The following is an 18,118-nucleotide window of genomic DNA, read 5'->3' on the forward strand; positions in this document are numbered from 1 at the left end:
TTCCAGAGCATTGGAATGTTGGAAAGCTTCTGAATTTCTGTGAAACAAATATAGTATTGATACTTAAACCTGGTAAGAACAGTATTGAAAAAAGAAAGCTATAAATCAGCATCCCATAAGAATATTGATGCAGAAGTGCTAAATTAAATATTATCATTGTGAAGTGATATACCATGACCATGTGAGATTTATTTCAGGGATGCAGGGCTGGCTTAATGTTAGGATACTCATTAACATACTCCCTATTGATAGATTTGTGAGGAAAACTCAGTGTCTCCATAGGTGCTGAAGGAGCCTTCAACAAGACCACCCATTTTGTGATATTTCTCTCCCGCTCTCTCAAATAGGGATTGTGGGATACATTTTTGAAATGATAAAATTTATATATCTTAGTCCTAAAGCCAGGAATCTTATATATAATGGGAAATACTAGAAGTATTTCCACAGTATACAGAAACAAGGCAAATGTGCACTATCTTCACTGCTGTTCAACATTATAATGGAGGTATTAACCAATATAGTTAGATACATCGATTTAAGGCATAAGAATGGGTAAAGAAGAAAGACTATCTCTGCAGATTATATGATAACGGGTTGAGCATCCCTAATCTGAAAGGCTCCAAAATTCAAAACTTTTTAAGCAGTCACACGATGCACAAAGTAAATGCTTATTGAAGCACTTCAGATTTTGGATTAAGGGTGCAATGAAAATAATGAAGAAATTCCAAAATGCAAAAAAATTCAAAATACCTCGACCCAAACTGTTTTTTGGTTTTGGCCAGAGTGCAATGGCACAATCTTGGCTCACTGCAACCTTGACCTCCCAGGTTCAAGCAATTCTTCTGCCTCAGCCTCCAAAATAGCTGGGATTACAGGCACCTGTCCCCACACCTGGATATTTTTGTATTTTCAGTAGAGACAGGGTTTCACCATGTTGGCCAGGCTGGTCTCGAACTCCTGACCTCAGGTGATCCACCCGCCTGGCCTCCCAAAGTGCTAGGATTTACAGGCGTGAGCCAACATGCCCGGCCCAACCCAAACATTTTTGATAAGGGATAGTCAACCTGTAATATGGCTGGAAAACTACAGGGGATCACTGGTAAAATTAATCCAAATGATAATAGAATTCAATAAAATAGCAGGATATAAAATTAACTTAAAAAATCAATAGACTCATATACAGACAGTAGCCAGTTAGCAGTCAGTCACAATGGTAGAGAAAACTCCACTTACAATAGCAACAAAGATTAAATACTTATTAAACATAAAAATGTACAAAACCTACAGGAAGAAACTTTTTCAATACTTAAGTCATAAAATTAGATTTGAATAGGATGGCTCATCATTATAAAGATGTCAGTTCTCCTTAATTTCTGAAATTAATGCATTCACAGTAAAAACACCAAGAAGCCTTTTTTACTTTTTAAGTTAGACAAGTTGATACTAAGTCTTATGGGAAAACAAACATACAAGAATAGCCAGGAAGAAACTGGAAAAGAAAAACTGCTGGTGGGACTAGCTCTACCAGACATTAAAACATATACTATAAAGCTTCTATAATTGAATCTGTGTGCTACTGTCACATGAATAAATAAATAGAGAAGTGGAATAGAAAGCCCAGAAACAGACACAGGTACAAGTGGAAATAATAAAAATGGTATCTTGGGCTGGGCTCAGTGGCTCACATCTGTAATCCTAGCACAATGGGAGGGCAAGGCAGGGGAATGACTTGAGCCCAGCAGTTTGAGACCACCCTGGATAACATGGCGAAACCCTGACTAAAAAATTAGCAGGCATGGTGGCTTCTCAGGAGGCTGAGAGATGGGACAATTGCTTGAACCCGGGACATCCAAGACAGCAGTGTGCCATGATAGTGCCACTGCACTCCAGCCTGGGTGAAGGAGTGAGACCCTGTCGCAAAAAAAAAATAAAAAAAAGTGTTAAATCACTGAGGTAGAAATTGGCTTTTTAATAAATGGTACCGATATATCTGAATGTCCCAGATAATAAATGATACCACTGAATAAATAGTACTGAGATATTTAGAAAGAGATAAAATTAGATACACATCTTGTACCATGTATAAGAATAAATACAACATGTACACAGGTTTTCATAGCATTATTCATAACAGCCAAAAAATTCAAACTTATATGTCCATTGACTGATAATTGGATAAGCAGAGTGTGGTATGTCCATACAATGAAACATATTTCAGCAATAAAAAGAAAAGCAGTGATACATGCTACAATGTGGGTGAAACTTGAAAACATTATACTAAGTGAAATAAAGCAGTCACAAAAGGCCACAGGTTGTATGATTTCATTTATATGAAATTTCAATGATAGGCAAGTCAATAAAGTGTGAAAGTAGATTAGTGGTTGCCGGGGGCTAAGGGAGTTTGGTCTAAAGAGGGGTGACTGATGAAAGGTACAGTAGTTTCTTGTTGGAATAATGAAAATGTTCTAAAATTTATTGTGATGGCTACACAACTGTATGAATATACTAAAAGCCACTGAACAAGACACTGAATGAATTTAAATGGATGAATGTATGCTATATAAATTATATCCAATAATTAGCTGTTACAAAAGAAAAAAAAAAAACCTCCAAACAGGTTAAGAATCTAAATGTTTAAAGAGAGAGAAAAAAAGACCATATAAGAAAACCCATGTTTTCTTATTTAACCTTTGTGTATGAAAAAGGCTTTTGGGCTATGACTCAAAATGCAGAGACAACCAAAGATTGACAAATACGTCTATATAAAAATAAGAAAATTTTACATGGCAAAAACCGACATGAAAAAAAGTCAAAAACACAAGCTGACAAACTGGAAGAAAATTTTTTCAACATATACCTTAGCCAAAAGGCCTATAGCACTAATGTATACTACACTTGATTTTAGCCAAAAGGCTAAGAAGCCATATCCCTAATATATAAAGAACTCTTAATAATTAAATGACCAAAAAAAAAAAAAAAAAAAAAAAAAAGCCTTGAGCACCAAAGGACCAAAGACCTGATAGAAAAAATGGGGAAAAGACATAAATGGACAACTCACAAACAATGAAAATTGGGCCTTAAGCACATAAAAAGTTTTAAGTTCATACAGAGAAATAAGCTCACGCCTGTAATCCCAACACTTTGGGAGGCCAAGGTGGGTGGATCACCTGAGGTTTCTCAACCTCGAGACCAGCCTGACCAACATGGAGAAACCCCGTCTTTACTAAAAATACAAAAATTAGCCAGGCGTGGTGGTGGGCGCCTGTAATCCCAGCTACTTGGGAGGCTGAGGCAGGAGAATCGCTTGAACTCGGGAGGCAGAGGTTACGACGAGCCAAGATCGCGCCATTGCACTCCAGCCTGGGCAACAAGAATGAAACTTCATCTCAAAAAAAAAAAAAAAAAAAAAGTGAAACAGCACTTAGACGCCATTTCTCATCTACCAGATTAGTGAAAACTAAAAAGAATGACAGCTAATTCTGTGCAAGGCACCTTCAGATACTGCTGGTAAAAATACACACTAGCATAGCTCTTCTTCTGAAGAGCAGTGCCTAATAAATTGACATATGCACTTATCTTTTGACCCAACAATCCCACTTCTAGGAATCTTCTCTAAAGAAGTTTATCCATTTTAGGAGTGTTTGTAATTGCAAAATATTGCAAGTAGCCTAAATACCCATGCAGGAGAATGATGAATAGATGATGGTACAGCCACACAATGGAGCAGTACTGTGTCACTGTAAGAAAGAATGAGGAAAATCGCTGAACTACTTGCAGTGCAATTAAGGGAATTAAGTATGAAGAGTATCTATAATATGCTACTCTTTATGAAGCAGGGAAATACAGGCACAGATGTCAACTTAATGTGTGAAAGAAATACCAGAATGATAAACTAGAAACTATTGAAACTGGTTTCTTACAGGGAATACATGAGAATGGGGTAGAAAGATTGGGAGTAATGGGAATAAGATAGTAGGGATAGGGAGCAGCACTTCTCTGACTATAGTTTTTTATATGACTTTGACTCTCAGAACCCTGGTAATTTTTTACGTAGTCTCCAGAAATAACATAAAATAACTTAGATGTTGGCAAGTGTGGAGAAAGGAGCCCAAAATGTAATGCAAGCACTAACAGATGAACAATATTAACTTGATTTATGAAGTCAATGAATAACACTGACTTGAGTGGGGAAGAAAAGAACTAAGTAACTTTGGAAAACAGTATTTTGATTAGGCATTCTAAAGCTAAACACAAGACAAAAAACAAATATTGTAAGTAGTAAATGTGTTTCTCACAGAGGTATCGCTTAGGAATTCTGAAACTGCCTTTTGTGTAAAGTTTTAAAAATAAGTGAATATATTGTAGATAATGAAAGTCAGACTTCTCATTGTTGTATAAAGAAGTTACAGATTAAGATAGTAGGCTAGAATTAACCCTGTGTTCATTGACTGGAGTTTGAGGTATCCATATGAAGTCGTGGTTTTTAATATATATGTATATATGATGTATGAATACAAAAATACATAATACAGATGTGTGAATATGTGTATACTGTACATACACATATTCCCGAGCTCTGTCCTGAGAGAGCCAGAGGAATGATATCCTAGTAAGCACATTAGTGTTCGGATCTTCTTTAAATGCCATTCTCCAGTAAAGGGAACCATGGGTCCTTCGAAAAATGGTTGAGTCTGGCGCAAGAATAATACAAGATGTGCCTGGAACATCACGTGGCGCCAGAAAGTAATTCAAAAAATGATTAGGGCATGTTGAAAGGACAACAGGAACCAATCTGTTGGAACTCCCAATGGCCCAAAGTGGGATAATTTGAGAAACAAAATAATGAGAATATTAGATTGTAACCCACAAAATAAAACACATGTACAGGCATTTAGGTAGATAAGATAGATGGGAGGGATAGGAAGGACAGCTCTTCCTTACATGGAATTCCAATTAGCATAGATGAAAAGAGAGAAATAAAAACCATCATTAGGCAGACAACACTATGATAAATATTGCATGCAAGAACTATCAGCAGATACTCAATGGAGAAGTTGTGATGAAAAGCAGGATATTTTCAAGGTCACAAAATATCTCCCCACAAGATATGAATTACAAAGAGAAAAATGGTAACTATGGGGTGGCGGGGGGGGGTGGAAATGGCAGATACCACCTTAACCAGGTAAAGTAGAAGTCACTAGTAATCTGAGACACGCCAGCGTCATGTGTTCCCTGATGCACTGAAAGGGCACAATTTCACTTCCGCGGTATCCCTACCAAAAATGCCTAAGTTCAGTCTAATCATGAAACTGGTGGTGTTTGCTTAAGGAATCTAAATAAGGTCTGTAGATTAGTTAATAGTGTTACATCAATGTTAATTTTCTGATATCAGTAATTGTACTATAATTTTGTAACACATTATAAGGGGAAGTTGGATGAGGTATATACAGGAAGTCTGTGCTATTTTTGCAACTTTTCTCCGAGTCTAAAATTATTTCCAATAAAACATCTTTAAAAATAGGGGCCGGGCATAGTGGCTTGTGCAGCACTGTAATCCCAGAACTTTGAGAGGCCGAGACAGGCGGATCACTTGAGCCCAGGAGTTCAAGACCAGCCTGGGCAATATGGCAAAAACCTGTCTCTACAAAAACTAGCCGGGCATGGTGGCATGCACCCTTTAGTCCTAGCTACTCGGGAGGTTTATGTGGGAGGATGGCTTGAGCCCAGGAGGTGGAGGTTGCAGTGAGCTGAGATCGCACCACTGCACTCCAACTTGGGCAAGAGGGACACCCTGTCTCTAAATAAATGAATGAATAAATGATAAAGGTTTGAGGTACCAGGTATCTATTGTTACCTAAACTCTTGTTATCTGAGCTCAGAAGCCAGAAAAATTTTCATGACATAGTAAGCTTTGCTATCAGGGCTCTCACTATTTGAACTAAGACTGAATAGAGTCACAAGAGATACTTGTATTTATTATTGGTTTTTTTTGCAATATTATTGGAATTTGTTCTAAATAGAATTTATTCTTATTCTCCTGGAGTCAACCATTGATTTCTTTGCTTGTTCTCTTAATATACTCTCCCTTAGAGGACTCATCCATTTGATTGGCATCAGCTGTCACCCTTTAAGTGAAAAATCTGTACATGTCACTCTCCTAATTGTCTTCATTATCTCCCTAATGAGTTTCAGGAAAAGTCCCAGCTCTTAAACTTCACTCACAAGGCCTTGCCTGTCTGCTCCTACTTACATCTTCAGCTTTATTGTTTTAAAACAACAAACTCTTAGCTTTCCTTGAACTTGCAGCTCTTGCCTTGCTGAGCTACTCTGAAATTCACTCATTCCTTGAACTTGAAGCTGTTGCCTTGCTGAGTTACTTTCAGATCCACTCTTCCTAATGCTTTTTGGATCTTGTTCATATTGTTCTTTCTTCTTCTAATTCTTTGTCTTATTTCTTTCCCTGGCTAATTCTTTCAAATGATAGCTTAAGTATTAGTTCCTCCACAAAACATTCTTTGACCTTCAAAGACTGGCTTTCAGTGTCCCCCTCAGATACTTCCATGGCATCCTTTAGTTCCCCTGTCCTGGCACTTACTACTCTATTATAATGCTTATATCTTATACTAGACCATCTATGGTATGAAGAATAAATTAGAAGGCAGCAGAACCATTTTAAAGGCTGGAGACCAGTAAGAAGCCTCTTGGGGAAATCTAAGCAGGAACTAATAATGGTTGCCTATATTAAGGTAGTAGTGAGGATGGAGCCCAGAGATACTGTATGAAGAAAGTGGGGTATAAGATCCTTGAGAGCATTGTCTGTCCTGTTTCCCTGTAGATCCACAGTAGGGGAACTCTCATGCGTCCTTCCTTATACTCATAATTCCAATTCCATTTCCCACCTGTGGAACATTTCACTTTACCTTTAACGGTCTTGGTGCCTTATTTCTATAATTATCTGTGTAGTCTTTGAGGCTGGAACTTTGGATACCTCATTTCACCATTGGTTGTGGACTGTTGATTGACCTCACCTGACTGACTAATACCACAATCTTTCCTCACCACTTATTAATAGTATCTCCTCTCTATGACATGTTAAGTTGAAGAGGATGATTTAGGATTGTTTATTTGCTTAATGCTTGTTTACTTGCTTTTGGTGAGTGGTGAACAAGAGTAGAAATTAGTATTTTTGCCCCTATCCCAGTTGACCATGCCGAATTTCCTACTTCTAGTGGCATCAACATTCTTTTATTTATCCAGGTTTTCAAGTTTCTGAATTTTTATTAGCCTTCTAAGTTTTACTTTGAAGTATCTCTCCACTGTCTTCATTTTTCTTTCCCAGTTAACTCTCTGACCTTAACTCATGGTACCTTATGTCTAAATTATTGTAAAATCTCTCAGTTTATGTTCTTAATTTCTTTGCATCATTATCCTCAACTTAGATTCATAAGAAGTATATTGACTCTAAGCCTTGACATCAAATTATCTTGGTGAATTGATTTTTCCTCAGAATTTTAAGGACTAAATGAGATAATAGATGAGTGCTTTGTAACTGTATATCCCATATCTCTTGATTTATTCCCTCCTTTTAAAAATCCTTCCATCTTGCTGGGCTCACACCTGTAATCCTAGCACTTTGGGAAGCCCAAGTGGGCGGATCACCTGAGGTCAGGAATTCGTTACCAGCCTGGCTAACATGGTGAAACCCCGTTTCTACTAAAAATACAAAAAAATTAGCCAGGCATGGTGGCGCACACCTGTAATCCCAGCTACTTAGGGAGGCTGAGCCAGGAGAATCACTTGAACCCGGGAGGCGGAGGTTGCAGTGAGCCGAGATTGCACCATTGCACTCCAGCCTGGGCAACAGAGCAAGACTGTCTCAAATAAATAAATAAATACAAATTATTTAGTCAATGGTTTTAATTTTAATGAAAATTAAAAATGGATCATAGGAAGTGAATTTCTTACCTCCTTTTAGGTTATTACAATTTTATGTTCAGTAAAAGCAGAATCTTAAGGGAATGAGGAAGCTTCCAGAGTTGAAATGCCTTGGTCGTTTTGTGTCCCTGGGCTGTTGGCAGTGTGACTCTGCTACAGAATACCACTTGGGGAGATCAGCTTACTCAGTACAGGGTGCAGGGAATGGGGGAAGTCTGGAGGGCCAGAAACCCACACTGCGTGGTATGGAGTAGTGGAAAAGAACCCTCCCTTAGGAGGATAACATCCTCTGCAGTCTATTTTTATATTTCAAAGTGAGGTATTTTTACTTCAAATTACAGTACTGTATATAGTTAATAGGAGAATGTTGTATATTTGCTAATAGAGGATTATTGCTATATAATGGTCTCCTTCTGCCCCTGTAACATTGTAAAGAAAAAATAATCCTAACCAGTTTTTAAAATGTTTTAAATTCTTAATAAATAAAAAATGCTGCAGTAAATATAGATCTTTACTTCAAAAAGAAAAGGAAAGGAGGCCTACTGGAAAGGGTTACACAGAAAAGTTTAAAGTTATAAAATAGACACACAGATAGCCTTCTGTCTTCACCAGTTCTTAACATTTCGGCACATTTGCTTTCTCTCTCTGTGTGTGTCTCTGTTTCTCTGGCTAATGTATTTTTATCACACCCAAGAAATTTAACGTTTATAAGATGTAATCATTTAATATACCAACCATGTGTATACTGCTTCAGTTGCTCCTCAGATTCCTGAATCTAATCAGATATAACACTTTGCATTTTGTTTACCGGTCTCTCTAGTCTTCTGTAATTTTCCCAGTTTTTTCCCATAATACTGATTTTTTTTTCAGCATTAAAGCTAGCTCTCTTGTAGAGTAGTCCACAGTCTGAATTTATCTGATTGTTTCATGATTAGATTCAGATTAAATATTTTTGGAGAAATACAGCATAGGTGATTTTTTTTCCCTGTTGCATTATATCAGGAGGCATGAAAGGTTAGCCTGCATGATTATTGGTGATGTTAAATTTGATCACTTGATTAAGGTAGAGTCTGCTGGTAGAAAACATACCTTTGAAATTAAAAGTTATCAGTAACCAAAGATTATCTTGTTCAATGACCATCTCTCATCTAATAGGTTTTGTCATTTATTTATGATCCTTGCCAGAATCAGTGATTACCTTAGTGGTTGCAAAATATTGATTTTCTACTTCAAGAGATGTGTTAAATTTCTTTTAAAAATTGTTACCCTAAGATGGCCCTTGGCTATAGTAATCATTTGCTCTTTTTATTTAGAATGTATTAGGAAGTATGTGAGAGGATTAGGTTCAAATGTTGTCTTTACCTGTAAAGGTTGAGATCTTTAAAAAGTTCCGCAAGAGCTAAGCCACCAGAAAAATAAAGAAGAAAGTTTATCAGCCATGTTAGTAATTCGATTTAGATAATTAAATTTCTGATGTTAGTCCCATAGTTGCCCCAGTTCCTATCATTCAGATGGGTATTATCTTTTTACCTTATAACCACAGTTAAACCCTGTAGAGTCAATATACTTCTATTTTTGCAGAAGTTGCTGGACATTCCAAAATGGATAGCACAAAATTTAAGGTGCAAGCAAAAAGTTAAATTTTATTAACTCAAATTTCAGCTGGGCATGGTGGCTCACACCTGTAATCCCAGCACTTTGGGAGGCCAAAGCAGGTGGATCACTTGAGGTCAGAAGTTCAAGACCAGCCTGGCCAACATGGTGAAACACCATCTCTAATAAAAATATAAATATTAACCAGTTGTGGTGGCAGTTTCCTGTAATCCCAGCTACTCGGGAGGCTGAAGCAGGAGGATCGCTTGAACCTGGGAGGCAGAGGTTGCTGTGAGCCGAGATTGTGCCACTGCTCTCCAGCCTGGGTGACAGAACGAGATTCCGTCTAAAATAAATAAATAAATATTAACTCAAATTTCTGTTATTGAGGATTTATTTGAAAGTTTTCATTACCTGACCTCGGTAGCATGTTTAAGCACAGTTCCACAACATCATTAGAAACCTAAACCTGTTTCATATTTGTGTTTTAACATTTGTAAGGTAGAGACACAGCCAACTCATACAATTACCAGTGTAGCATCCAAAAAGAATATTAAAAGATAAGATTCTGTCTTACTAACAAGTTGTAGATTATTCCTAAATTAACGGTTTATTATCACTAAAGCTCACTATTAACAGCGAAGTTACTTCCCTTCATAATTAGAGGAAGGCCTCTACTTGACAGCAATAAAACTGTATTTTAAGATATTTTTAATTATGACTTTTCACTAATTCACAATTACTTGAGTTTATAAGGCCTACCTAACAATTTCCAAAGCTTGGAGAGAGAGAGAATCTTTTGAAATGTAGTAGAAAATATTCATTTGTTTTTGCTACAGTGTAAGTGGGTTGCTTCATTATTCTGCATTTTAGCTTGTCCATCTGTTTCATAACAAGAGTTTCTGTTACAGTTTTTAAGAAAAGCTGCCTTGAAATATGTTTCTCATAAGTAACAAAGATTTTATCTGAGAAAAAAATCATTTATACCCTTTGGCAAAAGCAGTAGCTCTTTATGGAAAAAAGTTAGGAGCTTGGATATTTGTTTCTTGGGTACCTAGGCTGGCACTTGATTTTTACCAGAAAGTTCAGGGTGCAGTAAAAGATTGTACACTGGAGAAATTTTAGGTAAATCAGCGGGAAGCTTCTCAGATAAGTCTCAGTGTTGTTAGCTGCCTCATCACCTTTGTTGTTTGAAGATTTAGGAAGATTTTGTGGATTTCTATGTATTTTTAACAATCTACTTCTAGGGCCGAGTCTATTTTTGGAAAGGTGTTAATATTTTTTCACATTATACTATAAAGCTGGTATCTTTTAGTGTTTGTCAAGTTGGTATAAAGAAACTGCTGGTTTATTAATCCGTAAGGTTGTGTAAACTCTACATGACTTAACATTTTAGTGACATAGAAAAGTGGGATTTCTGGTTGGTGTACAGATCTTTCTTCACATCGTGCAGGTAACGTATGAGCATTGTCTGATGGATCCTTACAACATTCCTGTATGCTTTTGGAAAGTATGATCTTTGTTTAACAAAATGGGAAACAGAGGCACATGCTATACCCAGCTATCACAGAAAACAATAGTTAGAATCCAGAAAACATACTCATCTGGTTTAGTGTGTTGCCCAATAGATGCAATTAGTATTCTGTTTTATCTTATTTGTTTGCCTTATAATTATTAAACATTGTTTTTTAAATTTGGTTTTGGTTGATTCCTTTTCTTCTAAGTCCGCCACTTGAGCTAATATAGCCAACAAGCATCTGACATGAGGCAGAATTGTCCTCGGATCACAGTTCTATTGCTATCTCCATCTGTTGGTATGAAGAAGTAATGCTCTTGCCAGAATAAGCAAGCTTCTTTTAATTTTAGCAAAAACAGATTAAGAAATAAGGAATTGTGCTGTTAATTCATTTTCTTTGTGACAGGTAAAGTCAGTTGGAAGATGCAAAACTGTCACAGGAAGTTAGCTATTACAGACAAATTGCCTTTTTTTAAGGCTTTTTGTTAGTAATACTAAAAGTGTCAAAGAGAGTAATTTAAAAATGATATATTAACCATACCTAAATTATTTATGGCTTGTTCTTTAAGGAATTATAGAAAAATATGGTTGTCTCAACTTTTTTTCTTCAACCTGGGATCAGGCATTGTTGTGCAACAATATTTTAATAGCGAGAAATCTCAAAAATCCTGACAGTCTTTGCATATTCACAGTTTCATGGGCTTTTGCATCATTGCTTCTGAATTGCTAATGAAGAGCTCAATATAGCTTCTGATGCATTTCAGATATTCTGGGTGGTGACTGGCTAGAGTGTTACTGACATCACAACATACAGCTGTTGACTTTCTATTGTCTGAGTCCTCCTCGGCAAGTGCTTTAGACTGCTCTAGCAGGCACTCCCAATGCCAGACTAATCAGCTGGATGTGTGCAGTGAGCTCTATAGAGGAGCAATGCAGAGCATCAGTTTACAGGTACTATGGAAAGAACATCTCCTTAACTCTGTATGATGAAGCAAATACCAATACAATGAAGGTATGTGACTCAATTCTTTTGCTAAATTTGTATAGAATGTAATCTGATACATGAAGTATTCATGTTCACTTAGTACCATAATTTTTGTTAGAGGATGTGTGATAAAATTCTACTATATTGAAAGTGAGAGCATTTTAAAATTGTCTTTGTTTATTTTTGCAAAAATATATTTGTTTAGGTTGGTGGAGTGAAAAGTAGAGTCATTTACTTCTCAGCTGTAGCACCAATTTCTTCTCCCCACCCCTCACATGTTTGATATTTCTTGTAACTTACTGATAGAATGGTTTACCTGTGTGCTAATTGGTATTTGTGTATAGCACAGCAAATTGTCAGCTGGAAAAATGACTTCTCTTTCAAGTTCATCTTAAAATAGACATACTATATGGCTTGTTGAATTTTAAAAATTTTATTGTGGAACAAATACAATGTGAATGAGACTTTTGGAAATTAAGAAGCTAAGAATCTTAACTTTCAAAACTCATGGTAACGGTTTTCTACCCTTTTGGGGGAAGAGGTAGAATAATTTTTAAAGTGCTTGTAACAGCAAAACCTAGATCTGTCATTGCTATGATTAACATAATCAGATATCACATTGCAAAAGAGAGCAAATGCTAATCAAACTATGTAATTTTTGAGGAGTATCTTATTCCTAATTATACAGTCTGAAAACTTTGACATTTACCTTGATACTTTGATTCCTCAAAAGTGAAATCTCATCATGTAGGTGATACTGAATGACTAACACATGTCCATTAGTGTAAAATTGAATTGTTTAGAAGGTTTTTGAGAGTTTTGCTTGCTTTTTATCTGGAATTAGCTGAAATTTTAACAGCATTTGGAATTGTTATGATATGAATTCCTTCCCCCTCCATTTACAAAACAATTATTTTGTTCTTAAGAAATAATTCATCTCTTTTCTAGAGGAAATAGGAAGAAAATCACTAAATGGCCTTTTATCAACGCTGAATGTCATTGCTCTTTCTTTTGTCTATTTCTGATTCCCAACTGTGTAAGTAATTAGGGTCATGAAAATATTAATAGCTATTATTAAAATTAGGGTCTTCTATCAGATGCATTGCTTCACCCTAATGCCAAGAGAATTTCATTATTTTTAAGCCTCAGATTTTAAGTTTTTTCTTGAGAACTATAAAAGAAAAAATTAAAATAAGCAACACATACTCTCAGTTCTTACTTACAACTGCTTTTATCCATCCTTTGTCATATTCTGCTTTGCTTTTTCATACTTTTGCTCATTTTCATTTCTTCTTTTTCCTTTAGGATTCTGTTTGTCTGTGCGTCTCTATCTTGCCCTCCCTCTCTTTTTCTGTTTGACTTTCTGAATATTTGTCTCTCCCTCTTGATTTATCTCATCTCTCCCTCCATCTTCCATTCTCCCTATCCCCACCCATTTTTCTCCCCCTCTCCCTCTACATTTGTCTTTCCTACTTTGTCTCAGTCTGTCTCCCTTTTTTGTTCATCTACCTGGTGTTTCAGGGTGTCTCTCCCTTTCTGACTAAATCTATCTTAATCTCTCTCTCTCTCTCTTTTATCTTTCTACCTCCCTCCTTCCTCTTTTCTTTCTCTTTCTGTCTTTCCTTTTCTGCCCCTCTGACTCTCTCTCCCTGTCTGTTTCAGTATTTCCCATTCTCTGTCTCTTGCTTTCCCACTGTGTCTTGGTCTCTTCCTGTCCCTATCTGTTAGTCTCTGTCCATCATTCCCTCTTCCTTTGTCTGTTTCTCTATGTGCCCTTCTTTCTTCTCCCTCTCTCATCCTTTTGCTCTTTCTCTCTACCTTTCTGTCTCTGTGTGTCTCCCTGGCTACACCTCTTTCAGTCTCTCTGCCTCCGTCCTTCCCTCTCTTGGCACTCTGCTCCCTTTCCCACCCTACTCCCAGATCTTTCTCTTTTCTGTCTAAGCTTCAGTCACACACATTCACTCTGCAAATTTTCATTCTCATACAGGTTTTCAGTTCATTGGAGCCAGATCTGCACTTAAATTTAAATTTTTTGGTGAATTAATAAACCATTAGATAAAGAAATTAAATACTATATTTTAAATAAACATGATTTACTGTTTGCTCAGTTTTTTAATTTTGAGAAACTTATGCTTGAGGTCTTATAAGTGGATTGAAGTCATTATTTAAAAATTTTTTGTCTTCTAAAGATATATGTGTTAGGCTACTATTAAAGGGAATTATTTTTCTCTTAAAGGATTTTTCCATTAATTTTTAAGATTTATAGAAAGCAATTTAAAATTTTTTCCTTTTAAGGATACATAAGATAATACCCCACTTCATAGTTATATTTCAGATTATGGGTAAACTTGTATTTAAAACTTGTATTGACTTTTTTATACCATCTGTATTTTTCAAATGTGTTAACAGCAGATATATGCTAGTATTTTCTTCTTTTGTTTTTAACCTCTTGTTTTGAAATAATTATAGATTTATAGAAAGTTGCGAAAACAGTACAGAGAGTATTTTTTAATGTTTTCCTCAAGATTTTGTATTTTGTATCTGAGTATTTAAAATAGAAGAACAGACGCTCATTTAGCATTTACGTGTTTAGATAATCACAAACCTAGCAACTGTCATTATATTGTTTTCATTTTGTAAAGCAGATTAAAATACCATTTGATTCAAGCATAGTATATATTAATAGCAGTATGGCTTTGTCATAACTAGCATAAAGCTATCAGGAAAGAAAATTAGATTTACAAGTAACAAGTTATATATATAAAGTATTCAAGAAGCAAAGAAAGATGTATAAGATGAAAATCTTCTCAGAGCTGAGTTAAATGTCATTTTCACATACAGCTCTTCCTCCTCTGAAATTATGTAGCATTCCTTGTTTCTGCATTCTTTTGATGTCTCTCCTGCTTTGTATAGTTTTCATCTCTGCTCTGTGATCCCCCTCTGGTTGTAGGGGACAAAAGGTGGAAATGAAACAGAACCAACAAAATCATCATCTCTAAATCTTGCCATACTTGCACAGCTGACCAACCCTCCTTCTGATTAATAACTGAGATCTTTAATACAGTTAATATAATTTATTTTTTCCAAACCGAGTTCCTCTAAGCCCCAGGGTACCACAAAAGTACTTCAGGAAATAGAGAAAAGCCTGAAGCCCAGTTAACACTGCTCTACTCATCCCCACCTTCTCACTTGAACAGAGCAAGTTTATATAATAAATATATGTTTCCACAGTTTTAGTTCTCCAGAAGCCTATATATGAATCCTACTTAACCCTTATTTTATATTTTATATATGTATGTTATAAAGTGACTTGGATAATATATCTGTCACATTATATAATATATATTATGCAAATCTGTTACATTATATAATATATATGATGCAAATCTGTCATCTTATAAATATGCATGTCATTTTATTATAATATACATAGATATAAAAAGGGGGTTGTTAGCTAGGATTCATGTATAGGCTTCTAGAGAACCAAGCAGTCCCTAAAAGCATGTGTAAACTGTGAACATACACGTGTGAGTAAGCACATGTGATTGCTGCATTTCTGAGGAGAGGATCCTTGGGTTTAATAAGATTTTCAAGAGGGATCCTTTCATGGCCCAAAAATAAGTAAGAGTCACTGCTTTATAGTGTTTATAAATCATTGCTCAATATGCTTTGTTAATTTTAAATTTTCTCTCTTTTCATTTTCAAATGCTTAGAAAGTTATGTAGTACCTCTACAATAGCAGACACATCAACAGAGATCACATACAGTTTTTGGAAGTAGTTTGAAAATATACAGTGACTGATTACTAGGCACATCAGATGTCAGACTTCAGCTTGGGGTCACTAGAGAGAGAGAGCAGAACATTTTTTTATTCCAGTACTTTCAGAATGCTGGCTAAACCACAGCTTTCCTTAACAGGTAGAAAATGAATGACAAAAAAACTGTATGCCCCCTTGAGCTCCAATGAGACAATTGTAAAGAAACCCATGGGTTAAATATGAATAACTACTAAAACAATTTGATGTGGTAGACATAGCTAGGAAATAAAGCCACAAAAAAATAAAATCTGAAATGCATTAAACCCATTGAATTTTTGTGTTTTGTGCAAAGCCATAGGAAGTTGAGCCAATTAAATTGGACAGGTACTTTAAAGAGAAATTATATCTGCTAGCTCTACATGTATAGTATGTAGTGTGAACTATGAGAGATTGTGAGCTTTTTAGCAGTGTTCACCCATGCCCAGCAGCAGCACCTTCAAGCTGTAAAATTGTTTGCACTTTGTTGTACACATCCTTTTATAGAGTATGAAGGCAGATGATGGCAACTGAAAGACAGCACCTGTTCTGCCTCAAGCTGTTTTTAAGCTATTTTTACTGGCCACAAAATGCTCTTTGACAGAAAGAAGAAATCAAACGTTTTCTAGCCTTTTCCTTCTAACATAATCCTTAGGTGCTTTCTTGAGAGAGGGCTGTGATCCTTTGTTAGAAAAAAATGTAGTTGGCAATTCAAGAAATAAAGGGTGGCACATTAGTAGTTATGAAACTGAATGTCTACCAATTGTAACCTAAATTAAAATCCTATAAAGGAAACAGATTTTTTGGTGTAGGAAGGAAATGGGTCATGTTAGATCTACCAATTCAACTGCTAGAGAATGTGAAGTTTCACATTTTAAGCCATCAAAGAACCATTGGGTGGGTTAATGTGCCAGGAGCCCAGCGTGAATTTTGCTAAGATTCTTTGATAATAAGCTTTGTACCTTTAAGACCTGTAAAGGATTTTCATTGTGACCCTATAATAAAAATGAAATGTTGGTCATGGGTAAAAAGTATATAGAGATACATTCATTTAGTTATATATTAGTAGGGTAGAGAAAAATATATCAAGCGAAATCGAATTTTGAAAGCATGAAGAAAATACCACATCAAAGTCTAGCTAAAATACGATAAGACTGAGGGTTTCTTATAAATAGTCCAACACTTGCCAAAGTCTGTGTAAAGCAAATGCCTACTCATTGATGGCATTCTGAATGGCTAAATTTTAGAAACCAAGATTATGCTCATAATGATGTTCACCTTATGAACTGCCAACATTATCATGCTATGAACAAAGCACAAAACACATTAAAGAATATAACTTAATGAGACTAAGTTATGCACCCACAATGACTTTTGACACTAATGTGCAGTTAGGCCAGACAAGTCCTACACAAGACTGCCCTCACTTCAGCCACTGGGCCACCCTGCTGATCAGCTGGCTACAAATTTGGAGGTTCCCTCAGACTTAATTGACTAGAATAACTCAAATTACACTCAGCATTAGAGCTTTATTGTACCAAAAGAATACAAACCAGAACTAGCCAAAAGGAAAGACACACAGGGTAAGGTCTAGGTGAGTCCCAAATGCAAAGCTTTTGTTCTCTCCCCATGAGGTCAAGATGTATTGTCTTTCCTGCACATTGGCGTTTGTTAATTTGCAGACAATCAGGGAGGCTCACCCAAGCTTCAGTGTTCAGAGTTTTTATTGGGATCTCATTACATTGGCATGATTAATTGAATCATTGGCCATGCAATTGAATTCAATATCCAGCCTCACTTCCTTCCTTGGAAGTCAGACAGTTTATCACATTCCTCAAAGCCCCAACTTTCTAATTAACATGTTTAGTCTTTCCAGCCAGTCCCCATCTGGAATCACCATCTTAACATAAACTATATCATAGTAACCTCATTAGCATACATTATCAGGACCCACCATGAATGACAAAGACATTTCCATCAGTCCAGAAATTCCAAGAATTTAGAAGCTGCCTACTAAGGACAAAGGTCAGCCAAATTTTCCATTACACAATATCTTATTTTCCAATTATTGATAATGTCTTTGGTGTACCCTATGTGGGAAGTAATTTACTTTTATGGTAATTATATGTGAGATAACTCCGAGGTCAAGACTGAGTGAGTGATCTTTCTCCTTCTGACCACTTCCCTTTAGCTGATTTTGTACCTTAAAAGCATCTCTAAACAGATCACTTTTGAAAGAATGAATGATTTTTTGAAAAATGAATTGTAAACAATCCAGTATGGAAACAAACAAAA

The 18,118-nt window shown here is 36.0% G+C and overlaps 1 protein-coding gene across 7 annotated transcripts in view; it reads left to right on the plus strand.

The window, feature by feature from the left end:
- The window catches only part of R3HDM1 (R3H domain containing 1), a 193,786-nt gene that overhangs the window by 42,967 nt on the left and 132,701 nt on the right, over window positions 1-18,118 (plus strand). For 3 of the 7 annotated variants that reach the window (NM_001282798.2, NM_001354199.2, NM_001282800.2), the window contains exon 1: window positions 11,902-12,056. The exons of the other annotated variants lie outside the window; for them this stretch is intronic. The gene's annotated coding sequence lies outside the window, so the exon portion shown is untranslated. Of the gene's footprint in view, window positions 1-11,901; window positions 12,057-18,118 lie in introns of those variants that run through there. 7 annotated transcript variants of the gene reach the window in all.

The sequence above is a fragment of the Homo sapiens genome, chromosome 2 (genome assembly GCF_000001405.40).
Source record: "Homo sapiens chromosome 2, GRCh38.p14 Primary Assembly".
NCBI lineage: Eukaryota > Metazoa > Chordata > Mammalia > Primates > Hominidae > Homo > Homo sapiens.